At 36.3% G+C, this 22,194-nt stretch overlaps 1 protein-coding gene across 12 annotated transcripts in view; it reads right to left on the reverse strand.

Moving 5' to 3' along the window:
• The window catches only part of IQUB (IQ motif and ubiquitin domain containing), an 82,403-nt gene that overhangs the window by 13,804 nt on the left and 46,405 nt on the right, over positions 1-22,194 (reverse strand). For 11 of the 12 annotated variants that reach the window (NR_104244.2, XM_017011772.3, NM_178827.5 and 8 more), the window contains 2 exons: positions 13,799-13,974; positions 3,218-3,388 (listed from right to left, as the gene is read on the reverse strand). Coding sequence is in view for 10 of the 12 variants with exons in the window: in XM_017011772.3 (XP_016867261.1) it covers positions 3,218-3,388; positions 13,799-13,974 (347 nt within the window). In the remaining 2 variants the exon portion in view is untranslated. The remainder of the gene's footprint in view (positions 1-3,217; positions 3,389-13,798; positions 13,975-22,194) is intronic. The other variant, NR_104245.2, reaches the window with a different exon arrangement.

Genomic DNA, 22,194 nt, shown 5'->3' on the forward strand with positions numbered 1-22,194 from the left:
AAAATAACACCTATTATTTATTGAGGCCCTCCTCTTTGTAAGGCACTATATTAAGTTTTTATGTTTATATATGTGTGTGTATATATATCTACATACATGTAGATAGATACACACATATTCTCAAAGCAACTAATTTTACAAATGACAAAACTGATTTTCATAAATATTAACTTATTTTAAGGTTGTGCAGCCATAAATGAATAGAGTCAGAATTTGAGTTGTACTTAAAGACTTTAATCCTCCATCAAAATATTTTCAAGTAAATGTATATATGAATATTTCATACTAAACATATTAAGATATGCATAATTTGCCTTTTATGAGTCCATCCTTTGGCCTTTTTATTACTGGTCCTAATTATGTCAGGATTTATATTGTATTCCCTATGCACTCTCTTTTTGCCAATCTGGTCTTTTTACTGCCCTCTGTAAGTATCATGTTTATTTCCTACCTCTGGACCTATTGCTTCTCCCTCCCTACCTATCTCTGTCTTTCAAGGTGGGTCACTACACAAACATCTTTGAAAAGGTAGTCCAGAGAAAAGGCAGTCAATGCCTCTGCTGCTATGGAGATCTGTCTCCCTGGAAGAACCATTTACCCAATTATTTAATGTGTTTTAAGAGTTTTGTGTGCCTTGGAGGACAGACACACAAACTCATCCACAGAAAGAGCGTTCTTTACAGTTAGGAGTAAAGAAACCTACACAGGGTATCAAAATGTTATGCTTATGAAATTCTCAGGTTTGTAATCATGTAGCTCACTTAGATGGACCTAAATATGGCTGATAGTTTTCAGTTGTTATATATAGTGAACCACTGATTTTCATTACAATATCTATGCCTATATGTTCTGGCAATCTGGGCCATATCGATGACCAAAATAGACTGACCATGCAGTTACCTAATCCATTGCTTATGTATAAACTTTAGTTAATACCGATGATCACACAGAAACAACCTATATTTCTATGCTATACTGAACGAACATCTGCCAAGTGTCTTATTAACTTGAGAACTCACAAGCACAATTCAGAACCCAAATACTTTTTACCTGTATTGCCCACTTATTATATAAGCTTACATTAAATATTGAGCTTACATTATGGTCAGGATAAATTAAATAAAATAATATAAATTATTTAATTTATTTACACTGACCATAATGTAAGCTCAATATTTCCTTTAATTTGAGCTATAAAATGCAAGAGCTATACCAATGGTCCTAATAACAGTAGGGTTTCCCTTTTAATTAGGAATGTAGACAACATATTCATTGTAATGAATGTTTGAGTGTGCTGCCCAGATCAGCCCTACTTCAGCACTGAAGCAGACTCTCAGCGGCAGGTTGTGGTAGCTGATAGCTCTCCACTGAGCTTCTCTCCGACAATTCCCTGTGCTGAAGAGAGCCATCTTGCCTACAGATAGACAGCTACCATCAGCTGAAAACAAACTGCCTCATCTAAGGTCATGTTTCTTCTCAGGGACATCCTGAATCAAATGACTAATTGTTGTGGCAGTATAAAGACCCAGGATCCTGTGAGAGTCTGGGGTATGTGAAAACAAAAATTAAATCAAGTCCTGGCCCAGGTCCAGCTCATAATGGATCTACTGGGCCACCCAGCATTTATTTCCCTGGTCCTTGAATATATAACTGGAATAGAATACTTTATAGTTGGCACAGCCTCACTACCCTTGATTTCTTGACCTGTGGAGTAAGAGCTATCATGATGAGGAAGACCAAGTGGAAGCCCCTGAACTGCCCTTGTCTGGGAACAGAGGAGGTGAAAGTAAAAATGGCCCCAATTACTACTTGGGAAATGTTTGCTTCCTGCCCCTGTAACTCTGGACTCTTCAAGTTTAGAGGTCCTAATTCCTGGAGGAAAAATGCTTCTAATGTAAGACATAGCGCAAGTCCTATTAAACTCTGAGCTACAACTAATGCCTAAGCTCCGCAGGCCAAGAGACCTGCGGGCAAGGCAAGTGTTTTCTTGCTTATAGAGGTAACTGACTCTGATCTTCAAAAGGCAATGGTGCAGTTATTACCCAATAGGGACAGAGAAGAATATGTTTGGCACCCAGGTAATGGGCATTTCTTGGTATATCTTTGCTTGATTTTGACAGTAAATGGAAGTCTGGTAGCCTCAGACTGAGAAAAGCATAGTGACCTGTGGTTCAGACCTCTCAAGATGCAAGTCACTCCAAAAAGTGGGTCACCTGGACCAGTCAAGATGCTAGTTCAGGGAGAAGGAAATCTAAAATAGATAGTAGAGGAAGGAAACAGTGAGTATCTCTTGTGGCCTTAAAGCCAATGACTACACTAGGGGCTGCAGTTTTTCTTAACCTTGCTTTGGGGCCTATCTAAATCCAGAGGAGCTAATCCTGAAACCTACAACATGAAGTGGATCCAGGCAGCAGCGTGTGTATTCTCCCCATCCTGGCAGATTGGTGGCTGACAACTCTCAAGCGAGGCTCTTCCTGAGAATTGCTCTCTATTAAAGAAAGTTATCTCATCCAAAGCTATGCCCTTCTGGGGCAGCCCATCCAATACGTGGTCAAAATTGTCCTGGCCCCTTGCCTAAATTCAGGACAACTCTGGATGGCCTTTCCAGTTTTAGAATTCCCCGTGACACTGGCTGAAGTCATTGTTCAGAATCCACCACAATTTAATTTCTCTATCCTCCCGATTCTGATTTCTCTACTGCCTCACAGGAATTATCCTGATAGCACTCTCCAACAAACTTCCTGAATATAAACCCCATCTCTGAGTTTGTTTCTTGTTTCTTGGGAAAATTTGATCTGTGACATCCACTAACTTTGTTTTCATTAAAAGTAGGATTAAGAACACAGAAAATCAATAATTGATGAGAAAAAAGATAAAAATACAATGGTGCTGCTTTAAAACTGCTAAAAATCAATTTTTCACTGAAAAATGTCAAAATATGTAGATTATAATTGCTGTTTATGTAATTACTAATCTCATGCTATACTGCATATATTTGCATTCATTGCATAAAGATATATTTACATTCATTATATTTACATTTATTATGTATTATATTTTGAGAACTTTTAGGTAAATATTAATGCATAAACCACATCCTTCCCAAATTATACCAAAACAATTCTTAATGTAAAACACTTTACTTGTTTTAGTATTTCATTAATTTTTTTTTATTGACAGTGAACTCTACCCCCAAACTAAGAGAAAGTTAACATACCTTTACAGTGTGTTTAAGAGTTAACAGCACATCCAGCCTCTCATCTTGGGAGATATTTTTCAGCATAATGCACTTATAGATATTTTGCAGCTCTCTGGCTCTGATGGTGAACTGCGTATCCATCTCAATTGTTTTGCCATTAGGGGTTCTCCATATTTTTGGAGCTGAACACTTAAAAATAATATTATGTTTATAATTATCAGTTAATTAGAAACTACGTATAACAATTTTGCTCCTTCTACTAAAAGTCTACCTTAATATCATGTGCTTTATAACTAAAGTATTGCTAAAGCTTATGAAAATTAATTTAAGAATTTGCAGATCAGGCAAAAGTAAAATATTTTAGAAAAAAACAAATAAGAATGACAGTTATTCAGTCTGTAGAAGTTCATACACTTCTACAATATTCAGGATTTGCTACTAGTTTTTTATGTTGAATTGTTTGAGAGATGTATGGAATTACTCATTAACCCCATGAGGACAATTATTTGCTTGGTTCAATTATATTGAGTGTATATAAATATGTCTTGATCCTGCCTTGCCAATTGAATATAACTTTTGTAGAGTAATTATGACAATCCTCAATATATTTAGACCTAAAGATATACCAAAAAGGGACTCTGTGAGTTATGGTTTAATGTCCTATAAAAATACTTCTATAAGAAGTTCAAAATTCTTCTCAAAGCAGATGTCCATAGTGAAAGAGCTATATTGCTATCTTAACTGTGCTGGGCTGTGGTTCCTGCCTCCCTGATGCTGGCTAAGATTCTCACTTCCTATTTCCAAATCTGGCTTGGTGCCTCCCAACCTAGCCCACCTCCTAAATGAAGGGCCAAAAATGAAGTTCACTTGCCCTGAAGCTCATCTGAGGACTCCCAGGCTAAGAATTCAGAGATTAGAGACAGGAGGTGAAATTAGTCCTCTACCGACTCAGGAAACAGGATAATCTTTAATGATGATACCTCTGTGTTTGCCACTGCTTCTGTTCCCTCTGACAGGGACATTTAGAGGAGATGCATTCACCCAGAAATTTCACAGTGAACACTTACTGTCTATTAGCTCTTCCACTTTAGGGTACAAAGCTGCTCAGTTTCTTTCCCTAATGATAATTTTTCAGAAACAAGACTATGTTGATCATGACAATTCTTCAAAAACATGTTGGATGTTTTTGTAGGTTAACTGTAATTGCTCTGGTGTCCTTGTAATACAATTTACACCATACTTGCAAACATTTAAATCTTAGATGTGATCTAATGTAAGGTTTAAATGGAAGCTCTATGTATTGGAACAGATCATCAGGAATATGGACTAACCAAATAGAGACATTATATAAAACTGTATTTAGAATGACAGTAGGCTGGGTGCAGTGGCTCACGCCTGTAATCCCAGCCACTTTGGGAGGCCGAGGCGGGCAGATCACGAGGTCAGGAGATCGAGACCATCCTGGCTAACACGGTGAAACCCCGTCTCTACTAAAACTACAAAAAATTAGCCGGGCGTGGTGACGGACACCTGTAGTCCCAGCTACTCGGGAGGCTGAGGCAGGAGAATGGCATGAACCTGGGAGGCGGAGCTTGCAGTGAGCCGAGATCGCGCCACTGCACTCCAGCCTGGGTGACAGAGCAAGACTCTGTCTCAAAAAAAAAAAAGAAAAAAGAAAAAAACAATGACAGTATCAGGAGGGAATTTTAGTTGTAACATCAATTTACAACTAATTTTTTATATTTCACATTAGCTAAATCACATTGAGAACTGCAAAGCTACCTCTTAAAAACAACTATATTTGATATATTCTCAAAGTAATGGCATCATATTCAGATCAAAGCCAAAATGAATGTTATTCAGAGGTAGGAATCTTCATCAGAAACTTTAGATTCTCAGCTCCAGTTTCAATCCAGTAAATGAGAAGCTGCAGCCCTATAATTAATTTAAATTGTTACAGCATAAATTCAATATTAAATAATGTATTATTATCAGACCGATATAATTAAGATTGATTAAAAGCTTATAAGGAAAATAGCTCAATAATAAAATATTTTATCATTCAATTCTCATCACTTAGGAATAAAATAATTTTTAAATGCATATAGCCTTATTTTGGGTAGGCCTCAGAGTGTTACTGAAGTTTGATGCTTATTTTAAAGCTCTTTTTAAAAAGTTTTTAAAGGCTAGGGCTAAGTTTCATGCTGTAATATTCTAAAGTCTAACCAATGTCTTAATCTTTGCATACAATTTTCCTCAGGTTTGCTGTATTAAATGCAATTGCTTTTCTTCCAGTAATTTGGACAACACCTTTTGATCTGCATGGTGGTAAATTATTTCATTTGTAATAATTCAAATACAATAACCTTTTTATGAAACACCTACTTTACCTATCACATTGTATTTTTCAGTTGATAGACTGATTTAACTCTGTTTTCCCCCCCAAGTTTTTAGCCTAACAAATATAGCATAATGTGGTTAGATCTTGGTTTCCAAATACATTCTTCATCTAAGTCCTTTCCACCTTTCCATTTTGAACTCAAACCCTACCTCTTCCATAAAGATTCCTCTAACTACTATAGTTTGAAACAATTATATCACTTGTATGTGAAATCCTATTGCACTTGTAAAAACACACAAGTATACAATGTCTCTATTTCAGTGACTACAGGCAATGAAATTTGGATCCAAATTACTTTATAATTGTTTTATGTTTGCTAACTCCATTTCTCCCAAAAGAGTATGAGAAATAAATTTCTCGGCCGGACACGGTGGCTCACACCTGTAATTTCAGCACTTTGGGAGGCCAAGGCGGGCAGATTACTTGAGGTCAGAAGTTCGAGAACAGCCTGGCCAACACGGTGATAACTCATCTCTACTAAAAACACAAAATTTAGCTGAGTGCGGTGGCACTCACCTGTAATCCCAGCTACTTGTGAGGCTGAGGCAGGAGAATTGCTTCAACCCAGGAGGTGGAAGTTGCAGTGCACCAAGTCTGCACCACTGCACTCCAGCCTGGGCAACAGTGCAAGACCCCAACTCAAAAAAAAAAAGAAAAAAGAAAAGAAAAGGAAAGAAATAAAGAAAGAAAGAGAAAGAAATTTCTCATGTAGTTCTATATATCTCACAGTGTCTACAATACTCTTTCATTCATTCAACAAATATTTACTGTGTTTACTATACATTAATCAATGTATTAGGCACTGAGTAGATAAAATACTATCCTGGTTTCAAGAACTCTCAAATCTCATGGGATGGAAGGGTAAGAAAATGAGTAATTAGAAAAAAAGATGAGTACGCTTGATGACTGTAGATAAATAGGTAACTATGGGTTGCTATGAAGCACTTAACTGGTAAAAAGAAAGTATCTAAGATGAAATCTGAAGAATAACTAGGAGTTAGCCAGATTAAAGGGAACCGAGTGATACAATCAAAGAATCCTAGATTTGAAGTTCAAGTTCCCTAGAGCTGGCACTGAAAAGATATTAAAAAATCTGTTCAGCAAAGCTGTTTTTATACTTAGATGTATTTCTGCCAACACAGATAACTTGATCTTCAAGCCTAGGCTTTTTTGATTTCAGGGCTTAAGGTGTTTTTAACTCTGACGCAGGAAAAATGTCAACTTTGCTTATTTCTCTTCCTTATTTCCTTTTTTCTTTGAAAGCTTTGGCTGTGATAACAGATATACAACAATCATGTACTTAAATTGCTTCAGAAAATAGGAGCATAATAAATTCCATTTAGCTGCCAACAAAAGAGACAGCACAGACCCTGGAAGAGAGAAACAGAAGAACAGCAGGAAGACACATTTCAGGGAAAGGAAGGTGGAGAAATAACAAGAACCTGGAGAGCAGCAGGCTTCCACAAAAAAGAAGAAATGACTGCACTAGGAAAGTAGATATTTTCTTCCTCTTAAATTAATTATCAAGCCCCTAAGGACACAAATTAAGAATAGCCCTAACTCCCCGCAGAAGCTACTATATAGTGATCAACCTTTCTTTTACACAGCACAGGGGTTTTGCTCAGCCATAGCAGCACTCTTATTTCATGCAGAGTTCAGAAAGAGGCCATGGCACTTTCCTGCCCCATTAACTGTTAGCTACCTGGGTATGGAGAAAAAGCATTTAAAAGACACAGCTAACATGGATTGCAGTTCTTTAAGCCTGCAATTGTGAATAGTGTACAAATCAACAGGCATCAAATAAATAAATGGCCTTGACTCAAGGAAAAACATCTTACAGAAATTCAAATGGTCTCTACAGAGTTTGGGTAAATAAACCCAAAGATATATTAGAAACCAGCTGATGATTTTTGATTCAAACTTCTTGACCTGAATTTCTTCACCTCTGTCAAGCTTTGTGAGTTCTTTTGTTTTTTTGTTTTTTGTTTTTTGTTTTTCTGATGGAGTCTCACTCTGTTGCCCAGGCTGGAGTGCAATGGTGCAATCTCGGCTCACTGCAGCTTCCACCTCCCGGGTTCAAGTGATTCTCCTGCCTCAGCCTCCCGAGTAGCTGGGATTACAGGCACCCGCCACAATGCCCGGCTAATTTTTTTTTTTTTTTTGTATTTTTAGTAGAGACATGGTTTTACCATGTTGGTCAGGCTGGTCTCAAACTCCTGACCTCGCGATCCACCTGCGTTGGCCTCCCAAAGTGCTGGGATTACAGGCGTGAGCCACCATGCCCAGCCAAGTTTTTAATATTTGATACTCTGTGGAAGTCAATATTTGGTGACTTAAAATTACTAATTATTTAATGCTTTAAAAATCTTTAGAGTTAGCCTTTTATTAAGAATGAGGACTTAGTATAGAGCCTATTATAATCTATTAGTTCAATGCTTTGACTGGACAAATTTAAGACTGTATAATTCATTATTCAGAGACATTCTATGTTCAGGAAAAAAGGATTAAAAATAAAATATTGTTTCAATAAACCACACAGTATTTGGACTCAAAAAAGTGAAACTGAAACTAAAATATAAAATTGTATTCTCCAAAGTTATTTCCAAATTAAAGGAAAGTAAATGTTTCTCTGGATGTATCTGTATATTGTGGTGTTAAATGAAGATCTTCAAATTCACATATGGCACTGGTTGTTTGTTAATTTTGACATCTGAAAAAACTCTGACCTTGTCTACTTGCAGGGATTAATTATAAGCTATCTTTTCTTAAAAATCAAAAACTTTAGAATAATAAGTTACTTCATTCAAGTTTTATGAAATCAACACTGACTCCTCCTGAATATTAGAGATAATACTAGGCTTGGGGGTGGGGGAGGTTGACAAGCATAGAGAAAAACAGACATTTTATAAGTATTCACATCAAAAGACTAAAATTTATCTTAATCGTCTTCTTAGTATAGAATCATATACAAAAAGGTGATTTAAATGATTCTGAATTAGAGTAACAGTGAGTTTTTAATTCACTATAGCAGGCTAAAAGCAGGCCAGAAGTCACTGTTAGTCAACATTTTTAAACACTGGACTAATTAGGCTATGTGCACTGACTGGGAGTTATCGTCAAGTGTAGCTGATCCATATTGTGGTGTGTTCTTCCTGTCCTAATACAAGTCTTTAGTCAAAACTGAAGGAAAGTCCCATTGTATCAACTAAAATGTCAATTTCCTTTAAAATTTAGCCTGGAGATTGATGAGATTAACTGGTTTATCAGCTGGGGTAACTGTGGGTTTAGAACTCCAATTCTAAAACATGTGACCCACAAAACACCTCTGCCTTGATTTCTACAAATTCTTGTGGCTAACTTCATCCTTCCCTCAATTCTCTGCCTTTCACCTTTGTGTGTTACCCTGTATCCATCTGGACATGGAGCCCAGCTTATTTATCTGGTTTCCTCTCCCTTTCCAAAAATAAAATTATGTTGCGTTTAATATTTCCTTTATTTAGTCACATAACTAAAGAAGTCACAAAAAGTCACACTGTACACCCACTGCCTTCCAATTCTCTCCTCACTTTACCTTATCTAGTTCCCTCTAGAACAACTCTTGAAAACTTCCATTTTCCTGGAACAGAACAATTCTTTCTGTACTCAGGATCCTTCAGAGTCTCAAATTCCACCCCAACAGCTTATCAAAGTATTTACAAAAAAACAAACACAAAAAAATAGATCTTCCTTCCTCCTAGGAATTCTGGTAAACAGAATTTTAAAATTTCTCCATTTCACTTTTTTTTTTTTTTTTTTTTTGGTGAGATTTACATGAAGACCATCTTAGAGTGCCACACCTCATGAGAAAGGGTAGTGGTCATCAACTGACTCTGGAATCACTTTCATATGTTGGGCCTTGATCCATTTATGGATACTCCATAATTTCAAGAAGTTTAGTTAAATGTTTACAGACAATGCTAGACATGGGGACTGGGGTAGGGAATGTTCTGGGCATAAAGAAGAATAGATATTGTGTAAGTATATACAACAATAGAATTTTAAATAGTTTGCAGGAAATAGAAAACAGTATGATGGCACTAGTGGGAAAATTCTACAGAAGGCTCAGCATCAAATAAAGAAAGGTGACACCCATCTTCCCTGTCCATGGACACTCAGAGGCTTCCAGCTCCTTTGAATATTTGTGTTGCCCTGGGCCCATACTCTCTTCTCTGGTGAGGTTAACAATTAAGTATCCCAGTGATGAAGCAGGATGCAAGGTAAAGCAATTTGCTAAACAAATAGGTTTATTTCAAAAGATGACTCCAGAGAAGTATGAATATTATAGCTTTCCTACAGTAAATTCATCTTTCCTAGAATTAATATATTTAAGCATTTAAAATGACAGTATCTACATTACATAATTTCTTGATGATACTTGGAATACAAAATTATACAACCACTATTTCTGTCCCTTATTCTTCCTCCCTACCTTCTTCCACAAACATTTATTGACACTGTGGTAAGAACTGTGCTAAGATATGAGGATACAGAGATAAATGACAACTCTTTCCTTTAAAGGTTCAAAATCTGGAAAGAATTCAGGCATGTAGGTACAATAAAGATTGCATACTATGTACAAAGACAGAGATGAGACAGTCTCATGAGAGCATATACTACAGGCTAGAGTAGGTGGACCAGCATTTGCTTTCTGGAAGAAGAGGCATCTGAGCTTGTTTCAGGGTCAATAGCTAGCTACTGAGGAAGGAAGGAAAGGATGTTCCATGTAAAGGCACCCAATGCAAAAGGATCGAGAGCACCTGGTCTTTCTGGGATATGCAAGTAATCAAGCATGGCTGAAGCAGTGTGGGTATAGTATTCAGGGAGAGATGGCAGTGATACAACAGTGAGATAAGTGAGGTTTGCAAACATGAAAATCCTTGTTCCCTAAGGGCAGTGAGGAAGGACAGGGTCAGAGTTGTGTTTAGTGAGGCCACTTTGGCAGTGATATAGATAATGGAGGAGAGAATTGAGACGTGAAACTGGAGGCAGCAGCTCAATTTGGAAACATAAAGAAATCCAGATGAGAAGAAAATCCAGATTCAATTATGTCAGGGTCGAGCTCATGCATACAAGATAAGGCAAGACCTGTCTCATGACATCCTCCCAGGGGAGATAGGAAGGCCTATTTGATATATGCAGAGTCATCAGGACACCAGGGCAGAGCTTTTTCCCTACAGGCAATGGTAGTGGGTTTGGAAAGGAAGAAGTAAAGAATTAAGGAGGTATTAGGAATCCAACTTACAAGGGATGTAAAGGACCTCTTCAAGGAGAACTACAAACCACTGCTCAATGAAATAAAAGAGGACACAAACAAATGGAAGAACATGCCATGCTCATGGATAGGAAGAATCAATATCATGAAAATGGCCATACTACCCAAGGTAATTTATCGATTCAATGCCATCCCCATCAAGCTACCAATGACTTTCTTCACAGAATTGGAAAAAAACTACTTTAAAGTTCATGTGGAAGCAAAAGAGAGCCCGCATTACCAAGACAATCCTAAGCAAAGAGAACAAAGCTGGAGGCATTATGCTACCTGACTTCAAACTATACTACAAGGCTACAGTAACCAAAACAGCATGGTACTGGTATCAAAACAGAGAGATAGACCAATGGAACAAAACAGAGGCCTCAGAAATAACACGACACATCCACAACTATCTGATCTTTGACAAACCTGACAAAAACAAGAAATGGGGAAAGGATTCCCTATTTAATAAATGGTGCTGGGAAAACTGGCTAGCCATATGGAGAAAGCTGAAACTGGATCCCTTCCTTACACACCTTATACAAAAATTAATTCAAGATGGATTAAAGACTTAAACGTTAGACCTAAAACCATAAAAACCCTAGGAGAAAACCTAGGCAATACCATTCAGGACATAGGCATGGGCAAGGACTTCATGTCTAAAACACCAAAAGCAATGGCAATAAAAGTCAAAATAGACAAATGGGATCTAATTAAACTAAAGAGCTTCTGCACAGCAAAAGAAACTACCATCAGTGTGAACAGGCAACCTACAGAATGGGAGAAAATTTTTGCAATCTACCCATCTGACAAAGGGCTAATATCCAGAATCTACACAGAACTTAAACAAATTTACAAGAAAAAAACAAACAACCCCATCAAAAAGTGGGCATAGGATATGAAGAGACATTTCTCAAAAGAAGACATTTATGCAGCCAACAGACACATGAAAAAATGCTCATCATCACTGGTCACCAGAGAAATGCAAATCAAAACCACAATGAGATACCATCTCACCCAGTTAGAATGGCGATCATTAAAATATCAGGAAACAACAGATGCTGGAGAGGATGTGGAGAAATAGGAACGCTTTACACTGTTGGTGGGAGTGTAAACTAGTTCAACCATTGTGGAAGACAGTGTGGCGACTCCTCAAGGATCTAGAACTAGAAGTACCATTTGACTTAGTGATCCCATTAGTGGGTATATACTCAAAGGATTATAAACCATGCTACTATAAAGACACATGCACATGTATGTTTATTGCGGCACTCTTCACAATAGCAAAAACTTGGAACCAACCCAAATGTCCATCAATTAAGAAAATGTGGCACATATACAACATGGAATACTATGCAGCCATAAAAAAGGATGAGTTCACATCCTTTGCAGGGATGAAGCTGGAAACCATTATTCTGAGCAAACTACCACAAGGACAAAAAACCAAACACCACATGTTCTCACTTATAGGTGGGAAGTGAACAATGAGAACACTTGGACCCAGGGTGGGGAACATCACACATGGGGGCCTGTCATGGGGTGGGAAGCAGGGGAGGGATAGCATTAGGAGAAATACCTAATGTAGATGATGAGTTAATGGGTGCAGCAAACCAACATGGCACATATATACCTATGTAATAAACCTGCATGTTCTGCACATGTACCCTAGAACTTAAAGTGTAATAAAAAAAAGAAACAATGTATGCTAAAGCAGAGGACTTAGTAAGTGCTCAAAATCACTATTAAATAATTGACCAAGGATTTAAAAAAAGATTTGAGGAGGTATTAAACAATAGAATAAACAGGTTGGTGGCTAGATGGAGAAGTCAAAAATAATACCCAGGTTTCTGTCTGGAGCAACCGAGTAGATGATGAAATTTCATACAGATAGGTTATATGCTACAGAACAAGATCAGTTTACAGGTGAGGGGGCAAGGGATGGTAAGGTGATAGGACTTAGGGTTCATCATGTCTCCTTGAAGTGTAATCTTGGGAAATCCAAAGAGCAGTGACAGTAGGCCATTGGATATATGATGTAGAAGCTCCTTAAAGGGATCTGGCATGGAACTATAGGGAGTTCTGGGATGCAGGTAGTAGTTAAAGCCACAGATAAACTGAGATCAAATAAAGGAGTGAAGAAGATGAGAGGAGGGCATTTAGAATATCAAAAATATGGTTTTTAAGAACAAATGTCCTCAAATAATAAGAACCATAGAAATAGAAGCACTACAGGCTAACATCTTAGAGAAATGCACCCCTTTTCTTCGTAGCTGAATTGACTTTAAATTGTTTGGAAAGACTAGGTTTATAAAAGAAAATTGGTCACTATGGAAACAGACTATTCAATATCAAACAGGCAGTTTGACCACAAAAGTGGTAATTACTTTAGTTTTTTTCCTTAATTATATGTTTTCATGGTTTTCAATAATCATATATTCTTTAGGTCAGAAATTTGAAGTCAGTTAATGATGTGGTGAGCCAAAGCAAAAATACTAGTCTATAGCTATTTCTCCCAGGTTGCTTACCATCAGAGCACCCCAGACCTAGATGTTTCCTGACTTTGATACTCTGCATTTTATCACAGTATACAACTTATCTAATTTATATAGCCAATCTAAATCTAAATGAACAGAGTCACAAGAAATGTGTCTCCATCTTTTCCTTCATGGCCAATCCCCTTAATTAAGAATGTATGGATTTCATATTACCTAACAATTTTTACTCTAGGCTGCTATTAAAATCTAAAGCTATACCAGAAAAAAATAAATCAAATTTTAAGAAATATGTCATCAAAATCCTAAACAAAATTCATGTAAGTTCTTGCAATCTAAGTCTCTTGTCTGGTACATTATTCTACATTTTTTAACTCAGAATACATTCATATTTAAATAGTAGTCACTTCACTAACCTTATCCAAAAAAGCTTGTATTGCTGCTTCCTGATTTGCCATATAAGCAATGTATCTATGTCTCCCAATGGAAGCAATTATCTGAGTCTCTTTTTCCAGAAGTTCACACAGAGCAGCTTTCCTTTCAGCTCCAGTAAAAGATTGGTTAATACGTGTAAGTTCTTCTTGCCGCCAGACTAGAGGAATAACACAATAGACTCTTGAGTTTTTAAAAATCCCATCTTGAATGATCACATCCTGATGAGGAGTATTTTATTTTTACATCAATTTAAACAAAAGTATACACAGATAGAATCATTTCTATTGTACACCTGATGCATGAAAAAAGTGACGAAATGGAAGCAGAGAGACTTAATAAAAGTAGAGCCAAAGAAACAGAAGCCAAAGGGAAACAGTACAGTTGATGTCAAATTATAACTCCAAGTGAGCATTCATACTGCCTAGCATTGACAAAAATATGACTTGCACTTTGTGGCAGCCATGAGCGTGCACTGTTCACATCTCCCTTCAAGAGAGTACTTGTCACAACGGGTAAAGGTAATTGACAGTTCCAACTACAGCATTTCAGATCTGCTGCCTTGTTGAAGCTGAGGTCACACTCTGCCTACAAAGCTCTCATCAATGACCAAGCACCATGTGGGAGTCAGAGCCTGACTATATGTGCCCAACAGTGGACATTTTTGTAGTCAATCATATCAGAGTCAATTGTTGGGCTGGCTTAGCCTTCCTTAGAGCTAAGACTTTCCATACCCCATCTTCTTTCCTTCCCTCTCTCAACTGATGAGGTGTCAAATCTCATCTCAAACTGAAGATTTCCTTTTCCTTCCTCTGCTCCCTCTCCCCTTTATCTTTCACTTCCAATTACATCCTGGTGTCTGCTTCCCCAAGGACCCAAATTGATATAGTTTTATGTAGAATTGTTGATTTCAGTCATTTCCTTCATTCACTTAGGTGCCATTTTCCATTTATTTACAAAACTCTAAATTATAGTCACAAATGTTATAAAGTAATTGCATTTACTGTTTATTCAAACTAATGCATTATGTTATAATAATATTTATGATATTTTAAAGCCCTGGTTACTATCAATAAAAAATGTGCTGCACAAACTTAAATAAATCAAAATTTCCAAGCTCAGATAGATACATGCATTTTACCAAGTTTTCCATTTAATTTTTACATATACTAAATTTGGAAAAGAAAACTCTTTTGTATCCCACATTTCAAAAATGTCAACCTTATTTACATTAACAAAAGAATAGGGTTGGAAATAACTTGAGAAATTAAATTGTTCAACCCCACCTTTAAGAAAGTATCCTTCTCTTAGCAGCTTGAACAGGTTTAATTTGCCCGCCCTGGTTCTAATACTAGCCTGTGAGGCAACACGGCGTCAGTTTGTTTCTTGTGCCACATGGTATTCCTTTAGGTATGTGAAGGGAGCCATCACCCCCCACTTATGTTTTATCTTCTCAAGACATAAATATTTCTATTTCTTCAATTGTGCATCATTTGACTCATTTTCTGTCCATGTAAGTCAAGCTCCTCTGATTTATCATAGTACCTCTTAAGATATGGCATACCAAATTTCTGTCAAGATAGAAGCTTCTATACAAACTGCTACCTCCCCTCTCCTATGTCACTGCTAAAACGATAAAAGAAATATGAAAGACGGGAGAAATGAGAGAGACCTGAATCAGTACTAAAAATCTGAAAGGAGTTTATCCCTATGTAAGAAACCCTGGGGAATTTCTAAAAGATATAGTGCAGATACTACCAAATAAATGAAAGACTGTCAAAAAGGCACACAAATGTTAACCAAACTTCTGCTTCTCATCTCAGAAAGTGAACATCATAGCAGAAGATGGGAAACCCCAACTTAAGCAACTTGGAACTAGAGAAAAGGGTAGCCTATCAAGCTATTTGATAGTTTACCATGCTTTAAGAAAGTCTTTGAAAAACTTTCAGAAGAATGCCTAACATTTCAAATCACTGCAGAAGATAGTAACAACTATGAGTTTATGCAAAAAAAGAAAAAATATTTTAAATAGTGCAGAAAGCAAGATGAGAAAAGCAAAACAAAGCGTAACAGTTATGTTTAAAATATGAAATGATTATACAGATATTTTTCTGTTGAAAATAAGATAATTTTGTAGAATTCTAGTGACATGATGTTTTCAGATGGCACACTTGAAAAAAAGTGACACGAAAGGTGAAATTTAAACGGTTAGCAGATATGAACAAAAAAGAAAGCAGAAATAGCAATATTAAAACATAAAACTGGGGGGGAGAACCTCAAAACTGAGGTCTTTTAGGTACAAGGTGATTTTATGATGAAAGGTCTGACTGTCATGAATGTTTATACAGGAAATCATATACCATCAAATATGTTTTTAAAAAATTCTATCAATTATAAACACAATGTTGGAGAGTATGTTTTATATTATTTAAAAAATAGATAAAATAAAAATGCATTAATCTAAGACAGAGCCAAGTAAAAAAAATTAAAAGCATATTTGAACAATGATTTTTTAAAAATTAAATTGTCATACATCAAGCTCCGAACACCAAAAGCTGAAAATGTAACCTCATTTTCCAAGTTCAATAAACCATTTATATAGACATATCATATTGTAATAGAAACCAGAAATGTTACAAACTACATTTTTACCACAGAACAATTAAACTAGAACTAATAACAAAAGTTTATATAGAAATATTCCAATTGCTTGTTAATTGAAGAAATATCATCAAAAATAAGAATTTAATCAAAGAAAAGTAAAAAGTATAACAATATTAAGAAAAAAACACTACATGTGAAAATGCGTAGGATGCAACCAAAATTTCAGCAAGGGAAACTTGGGGAAATTTGGCATAAATAATCCTCAAATGTCAGTCATGTACCTGTCAAAAGTAGGAGGGATTTATAAAAAACTGTAATGTTTGTAATAATCAACCACAAGTCTTCTCTGAAAGAGCATGTCTTCTGGGTACTTTGCCCATTCTTCATGACTAAAGATTACTGAGAACAGTTTTGGTCATTACTCTCATACCTTGGAATATACATCTGGACTGGCAACCCAAACTCACTTAAGCCATGTTTGTGCTATGCTCTCCACAGACATGAAAGCAAAACAGGTTGAAACTGCAGCCCACTGCTCATTATTCTGAACAAATATTCCCAAAGTCACTTTACTCATCAGCATGTATCATAAGTTTCAGTTCATTCCAGGTTTTTTTGGATTTTCTGAACTATTCCTAAAAATACTTAGTGCCACATTTTATAGTTCTCCTTATTTATTGTGCCTCTCACATGTGGTTTTCAATTCGCAGAATAAATTCTGTCCTTGCACTTCCACAAGCAGGATGCTCGTGGATTCCTCCCCATAGACAGTAGGCTTCTCTTCCATCCACAGAGGTTTACATAGCTTTAGCTTTATTCAACATACTCTCCCACTTCTCACAAACCATGTCATCCTTTCATTACACACAGTCCTTTTCAGTGTGGACTTATCAGCTGGTTTACCACTGGAGGGCTACATTTACTTAATAAACCATCTAAATCTTTCAGATGGAGATTATTATTAGATTATGAGAATAATGAAGCTTTACAGTCTCATGAACTACATCCTGGCCATAGAATCAAACCAATTTTTTCTCTGAATTCTAAGAAGCGTATTTCTCTGATATGGTTATTATAATTGCCCAAACCCTATCACTTCATTCCCAATTCAAAACACTCAATAATTTTTGAGCAATTATTATGTGAAAGGACACTGGTTCTATGGTTCATAAAAAAGCAAGAATAACATAATTCCTTCTTAGAGGAACTAATATGTTTCCCTGCCTCTCCTTGGCTGGACATACTATAAAATCCTTCCACAGGAACAGAATTGCTACTTCTCTTTTCATTTATCTTCACCTAAAAGCCCAACATTTTCACTATTAGGTTTAAAGACTTCCTTTGAGCAGATCTATTCTTGGCAGATTACTTACCCTTGGTCTTCCATTATATACAATTCAATCAAGTAAAATATACTCTTGCATTGTTATATTCCAGACATGATTACTTTCTCACTAAGTTTTAGGACTAATTCATATAATTGGAAACTATATTTGCCTTCTTCTAATAAAAATTTCAGGTTTACTTTAAAATCAGTCTCTATGCATTAGAAGATAAATATCTGAGGCCACAAGTATTGTATCTGGCCACTGCCTTTCATAATATCTAGTTTTATAGTTTTATCAGAGTATTTCTTTCTCTTCTCAAATTTCAATTTCAATTTGAATTCATCTTGGTCAGGTCTAACACTTGCCAGTCATGTTCTTTAAAAGAATCCGCTCTGTCCTTTATCAGGAATACATCATTCAGAAACTGTACAGCATGGTCTGTCCAGCAAGAAGATTTATAAATTTAAAAGCTAAATTATGTTTAGCAAAAAGATTGTAAATTTAAGAGCTAAATTATGTTATGAAAGTCTAAAAAATCTATGATTGATGAGTTTGTTATTTAAGAGCTGATAACTTTACCAACCAAAAGAACTTTAAGAACTATGATAAAATCTATATACCAAAAAGCAGTTTATGAATGAAGAGAAAAATTGCTGGCTTGCAGAAATAACTGAGACAATTTATCCGATACGATCATATCAGATAGTCTGATAACTGAGACTATTTATCTGATACAATTATATCAGATTATATGGATGTACTGCAAAAGTGAATAAAAATGGAATGATATTAGCAATCCTATTTTATTTCCCAGTTTTACAATAGAAACCTTTAGAATCAATAATAAATTTGGGTAGAGCACTAAGTTATTATTTTAGCTATTCTCAAAAAAAATCAAAGAATAATATACTACTTTTCTAGATAAATATTTAAGTCTTGGATGAATCTGGAGATACATAAGTGTGTATTCAAGTACACATACTCATATCCATTCAGATTCTCCATTTTCGTTAGATTGTCAGTAGGGCTTTTAAAAAGGAAACAACCCAACCAAGCTGACGAGAAATGAAAATAAAAGACCTTAATTCCAGTAAAATTCTCTATTAGATGAATAACTTCCCTGTAAATCTATAGTAAGGGATGACATATGTCAGTAAAAAGCACTATTTCCCAACTAGTAACAAAGAATAGAAAAACAGAAGACACAGGAGCAGCTAAACAAAACTGATTTTTATCTAATCTGATGGTTTCTAGAACTATACAGAAGAGACACTGGGTGAGGACAAGAGAGAGTCTGACTCCTTTCCTAAAATACTTGTTCTCTAAAGGATGATAATTAAAAAATTGAGATGCTATATTACTTTACTAGGGCTTCCATAACAAAGTACCATTGGTTGGGTGGTTTAAACAACAGAACTTTATTTCGTCAAAATTCTGGAGGCTAAAGGTCCAAGACTAATATGTCAACAGGCTTGGTTTCTTCTGAGGGCTTCTCAGCTTGGCTTACAGTTGGTTATCTTCTGGTATCTTCATATGATTTTCCCTCTACATATGCCTGTGTCCTAATCTCCTCTTCTTATAAGTACACCAGTTATATTGGATTAAGGCCAACCTGTATGACCTCATTTTTTCTTAATTATCTCTTTAAAAGCCCTCTCCAAGTACAGTCACATTCTGAGGTAATGAGGGTTAGGATTTCAACATATGGATTTGGGGGGAACATAAGTCAGCCCATTACAGATATCGATAACCACAAATATTTTTAAGCAAAAGATATTAAAGGAATTGGTTCATCTGAAAAAATTGATTCACTTTGTCTTCTCATCTTCCTAGACAGACCACCTGATTTCCAGGGTTTGAAGTTCAACCATAAAATGAAAGGAGAATAGGACTAGCATCTAAAGCCCATATTCATTTTAAATTTCTGAAACCTGACCTTGTAATTTCCAAGCAAGAAATAGCAGAACATACAATATTTTGTCTACCATTGGCAGTTTTGATGCATCTGCATGTTAAAATTCTCATCACAGACTAGAAGTCTAACTGGAGAGAACCAAGCAAGATTCCAACTAAAAGCCTCTCTTGAACAGTTAAGACAGTGGTGTGTACAGAGAAACGTAATCAAAAAGTAGAGACTCAAGCCCAATCTGTGCTGTCAAGAGAGGTTTCTGGAAGATCATTACTCCAATGCTGAGTCTGAGATAAGAGTCATTCAGGCAATGAAAGGTAGAAGGATATTCCAGATGACAAACACAGCATGAGTGATAAAGTCAGGGAGCCACACAAACAGCTGGAAGTCAGGACTCTTGAGAGATTCAGCTGGAGAGGTATAAGGAGTCCATCTCCTGGACATGATTGTGTAGGTGAAGAAACCACGAAAGGGTTTTACGTTAGACTGATATTTTTGATAAATCACTCTGGCCACAGTATGGACCACCAATTACTTGAAACTGGAAGAAAGGAAAAATTCAGATATAGACTAGCCGTGAACATACAGAAATATGTACCCAACAGTGATAATAATGCTTTCCAACACAGTGACATGCACTGAATCCCTGATCTGACAGGTTACTTTCAGAAAGACTTCTCAGCCAAATAAAAAATCCTGCACACCCTTTGAAGCCTTCCCTAACAACTTCTCAATACCCTGGCACAGAAGTCATCTACCTAACTCTGCTGAGTGTTTAGCACTTTACTTATTTTTCTATTAAAGAAATTATCCCTTCTACCTTGTACAATGACCACTGTGAATGTGACTTAGCCTTGCTACCAAGTAGCTGGTTTGTAGCATAATTAATTGGTACGTAGTAATTGTCCTTAGTAAATATTTATTAAATAGGGAAAATAATGATAAAGGTAACTTCAAGTCTAAAGAGATTCGGTAAAAATAAACATGAATCCTTTTTATAATTAACACTATCATATTGAGTACTTAGGAAATATGAGACAGAATCTTGACTGTTTTACAGATTTCATTTAATTTGCCCTTTACTCTCCTAGGACTACACTATACTCTTGAGGAGGTAGAAAGTCAAGAATAATGAAGGCACATGCTCTATCAGGACTCCTGGGCTTTGGAGTAGTCCTTAGGATATTTCAAAGGACCTTAGTTGTGTGCAGGTAATAAGCTTATTCAGCCTGATAAGTGTTATTAGAACATTGGTAAATTGAGAAAAAGTTCTGCAGCATCACCTTGCCCAAGGATGAGTGATATGGTTTGGCTGTGTCCTCACCCAAATCTCATGCTGAATTGTAATCCCCAAAATTGGGGGAGGGACTTCATGGGAGGTGACTGGATCATGAGGGTGAATTTCCCCCTTGCTATTCTCAAGACAGTGAGTGAGTTCTCATGAGATCTGGTTGTTTAAAAGTGTGTAGCACCTCCTTCTTCACTCTCTCTCTCTCTTCCACCATATGAAGATGGTGTTTGATTCCCCTTCACCTTCTGCCACGAAGTTTCCTGAGGCCTCCCCAGCCATGGTTCCTGTACAGCCTGTGGAACTATGAGTCAATTTAATCTCTTTTCTTTATAAATTACCCAGTATCAGATAGTTATTTATAGCAGTGTGAGAACTGGTTAAAACAATGAGGAAAATACTATATGGTCAATTTCAAAGACTCATGGCATAAGTCCTATTTTGGTATAACAGAGAACCCTGGTAAGAACTCACACTCCTTAGAATAGGACAATTGGAACTCTGTGAAGTGATGTGCAGGTATTCATTTACAGCTAAACCCACCATTAATCAAGACATTATTAGAGTATGCCTGTGATGACATTCTGTCTTAAATCATATGTAGTAACTAATAGTTCCTGTTCTTAATAGAGGATATTATCACACCAGAGAATTTTTCAAACCTAGCAAAAGTGTAAACTATGCTTGTGTTTAATCTTTTTTAAAACACAATTTCCATGTCCTCTATTCACCGATAGAGCAAGTAAAGTAAATCATTAAGAGCAGAAATGCCAATATGGCTACAACTTACAAACTTGCCGAACTTCAGTAGAATATTAGCTAACAAGGCACTTTTGGCTGTCACATGTATACACACTTCCATATGTGTATACTGCTTTCATAGTAAAAGCTCTCACTATAGAAGTTACCCATGAGTGAGAGTATTTTAATATTTTTGTCATATAGGATTCATCCACAGGCCTTTTTAGGTGATTTCCTTTCAGAGTAGTTTGAAATAAGTTAAAACCAATTACCAGCAGTAACTATATCATTAAACAGTAGAACATAAACTTTTATTAATAGTCTGAAAAAAATTTCTATTATTAAACACGTGGACAGCATAACAAACAATTTTCTAAAAGAAAAGCTGAGCTCAGTGGCTCATGTCTGTAATCCCAGCACTTTGGGAGGCCGAGGCGGGCGGATCACGAGGTCAGGAGATCGAGACCACGGTGAAACCCCGTCTCTACTAAAAATACAAAAAATAAAAAA

The sequence above is a fragment of the Homo sapiens genome, chromosome 7 (genome assembly GCF_000001405.40).
Source record: "Homo sapiens chromosome 7, GRCh38.p14 Primary Assembly".
Lineage (NCBI taxonomy): Eukaryota > Metazoa > Chordata > Mammalia > Primates > Hominidae > Homo > Homo sapiens.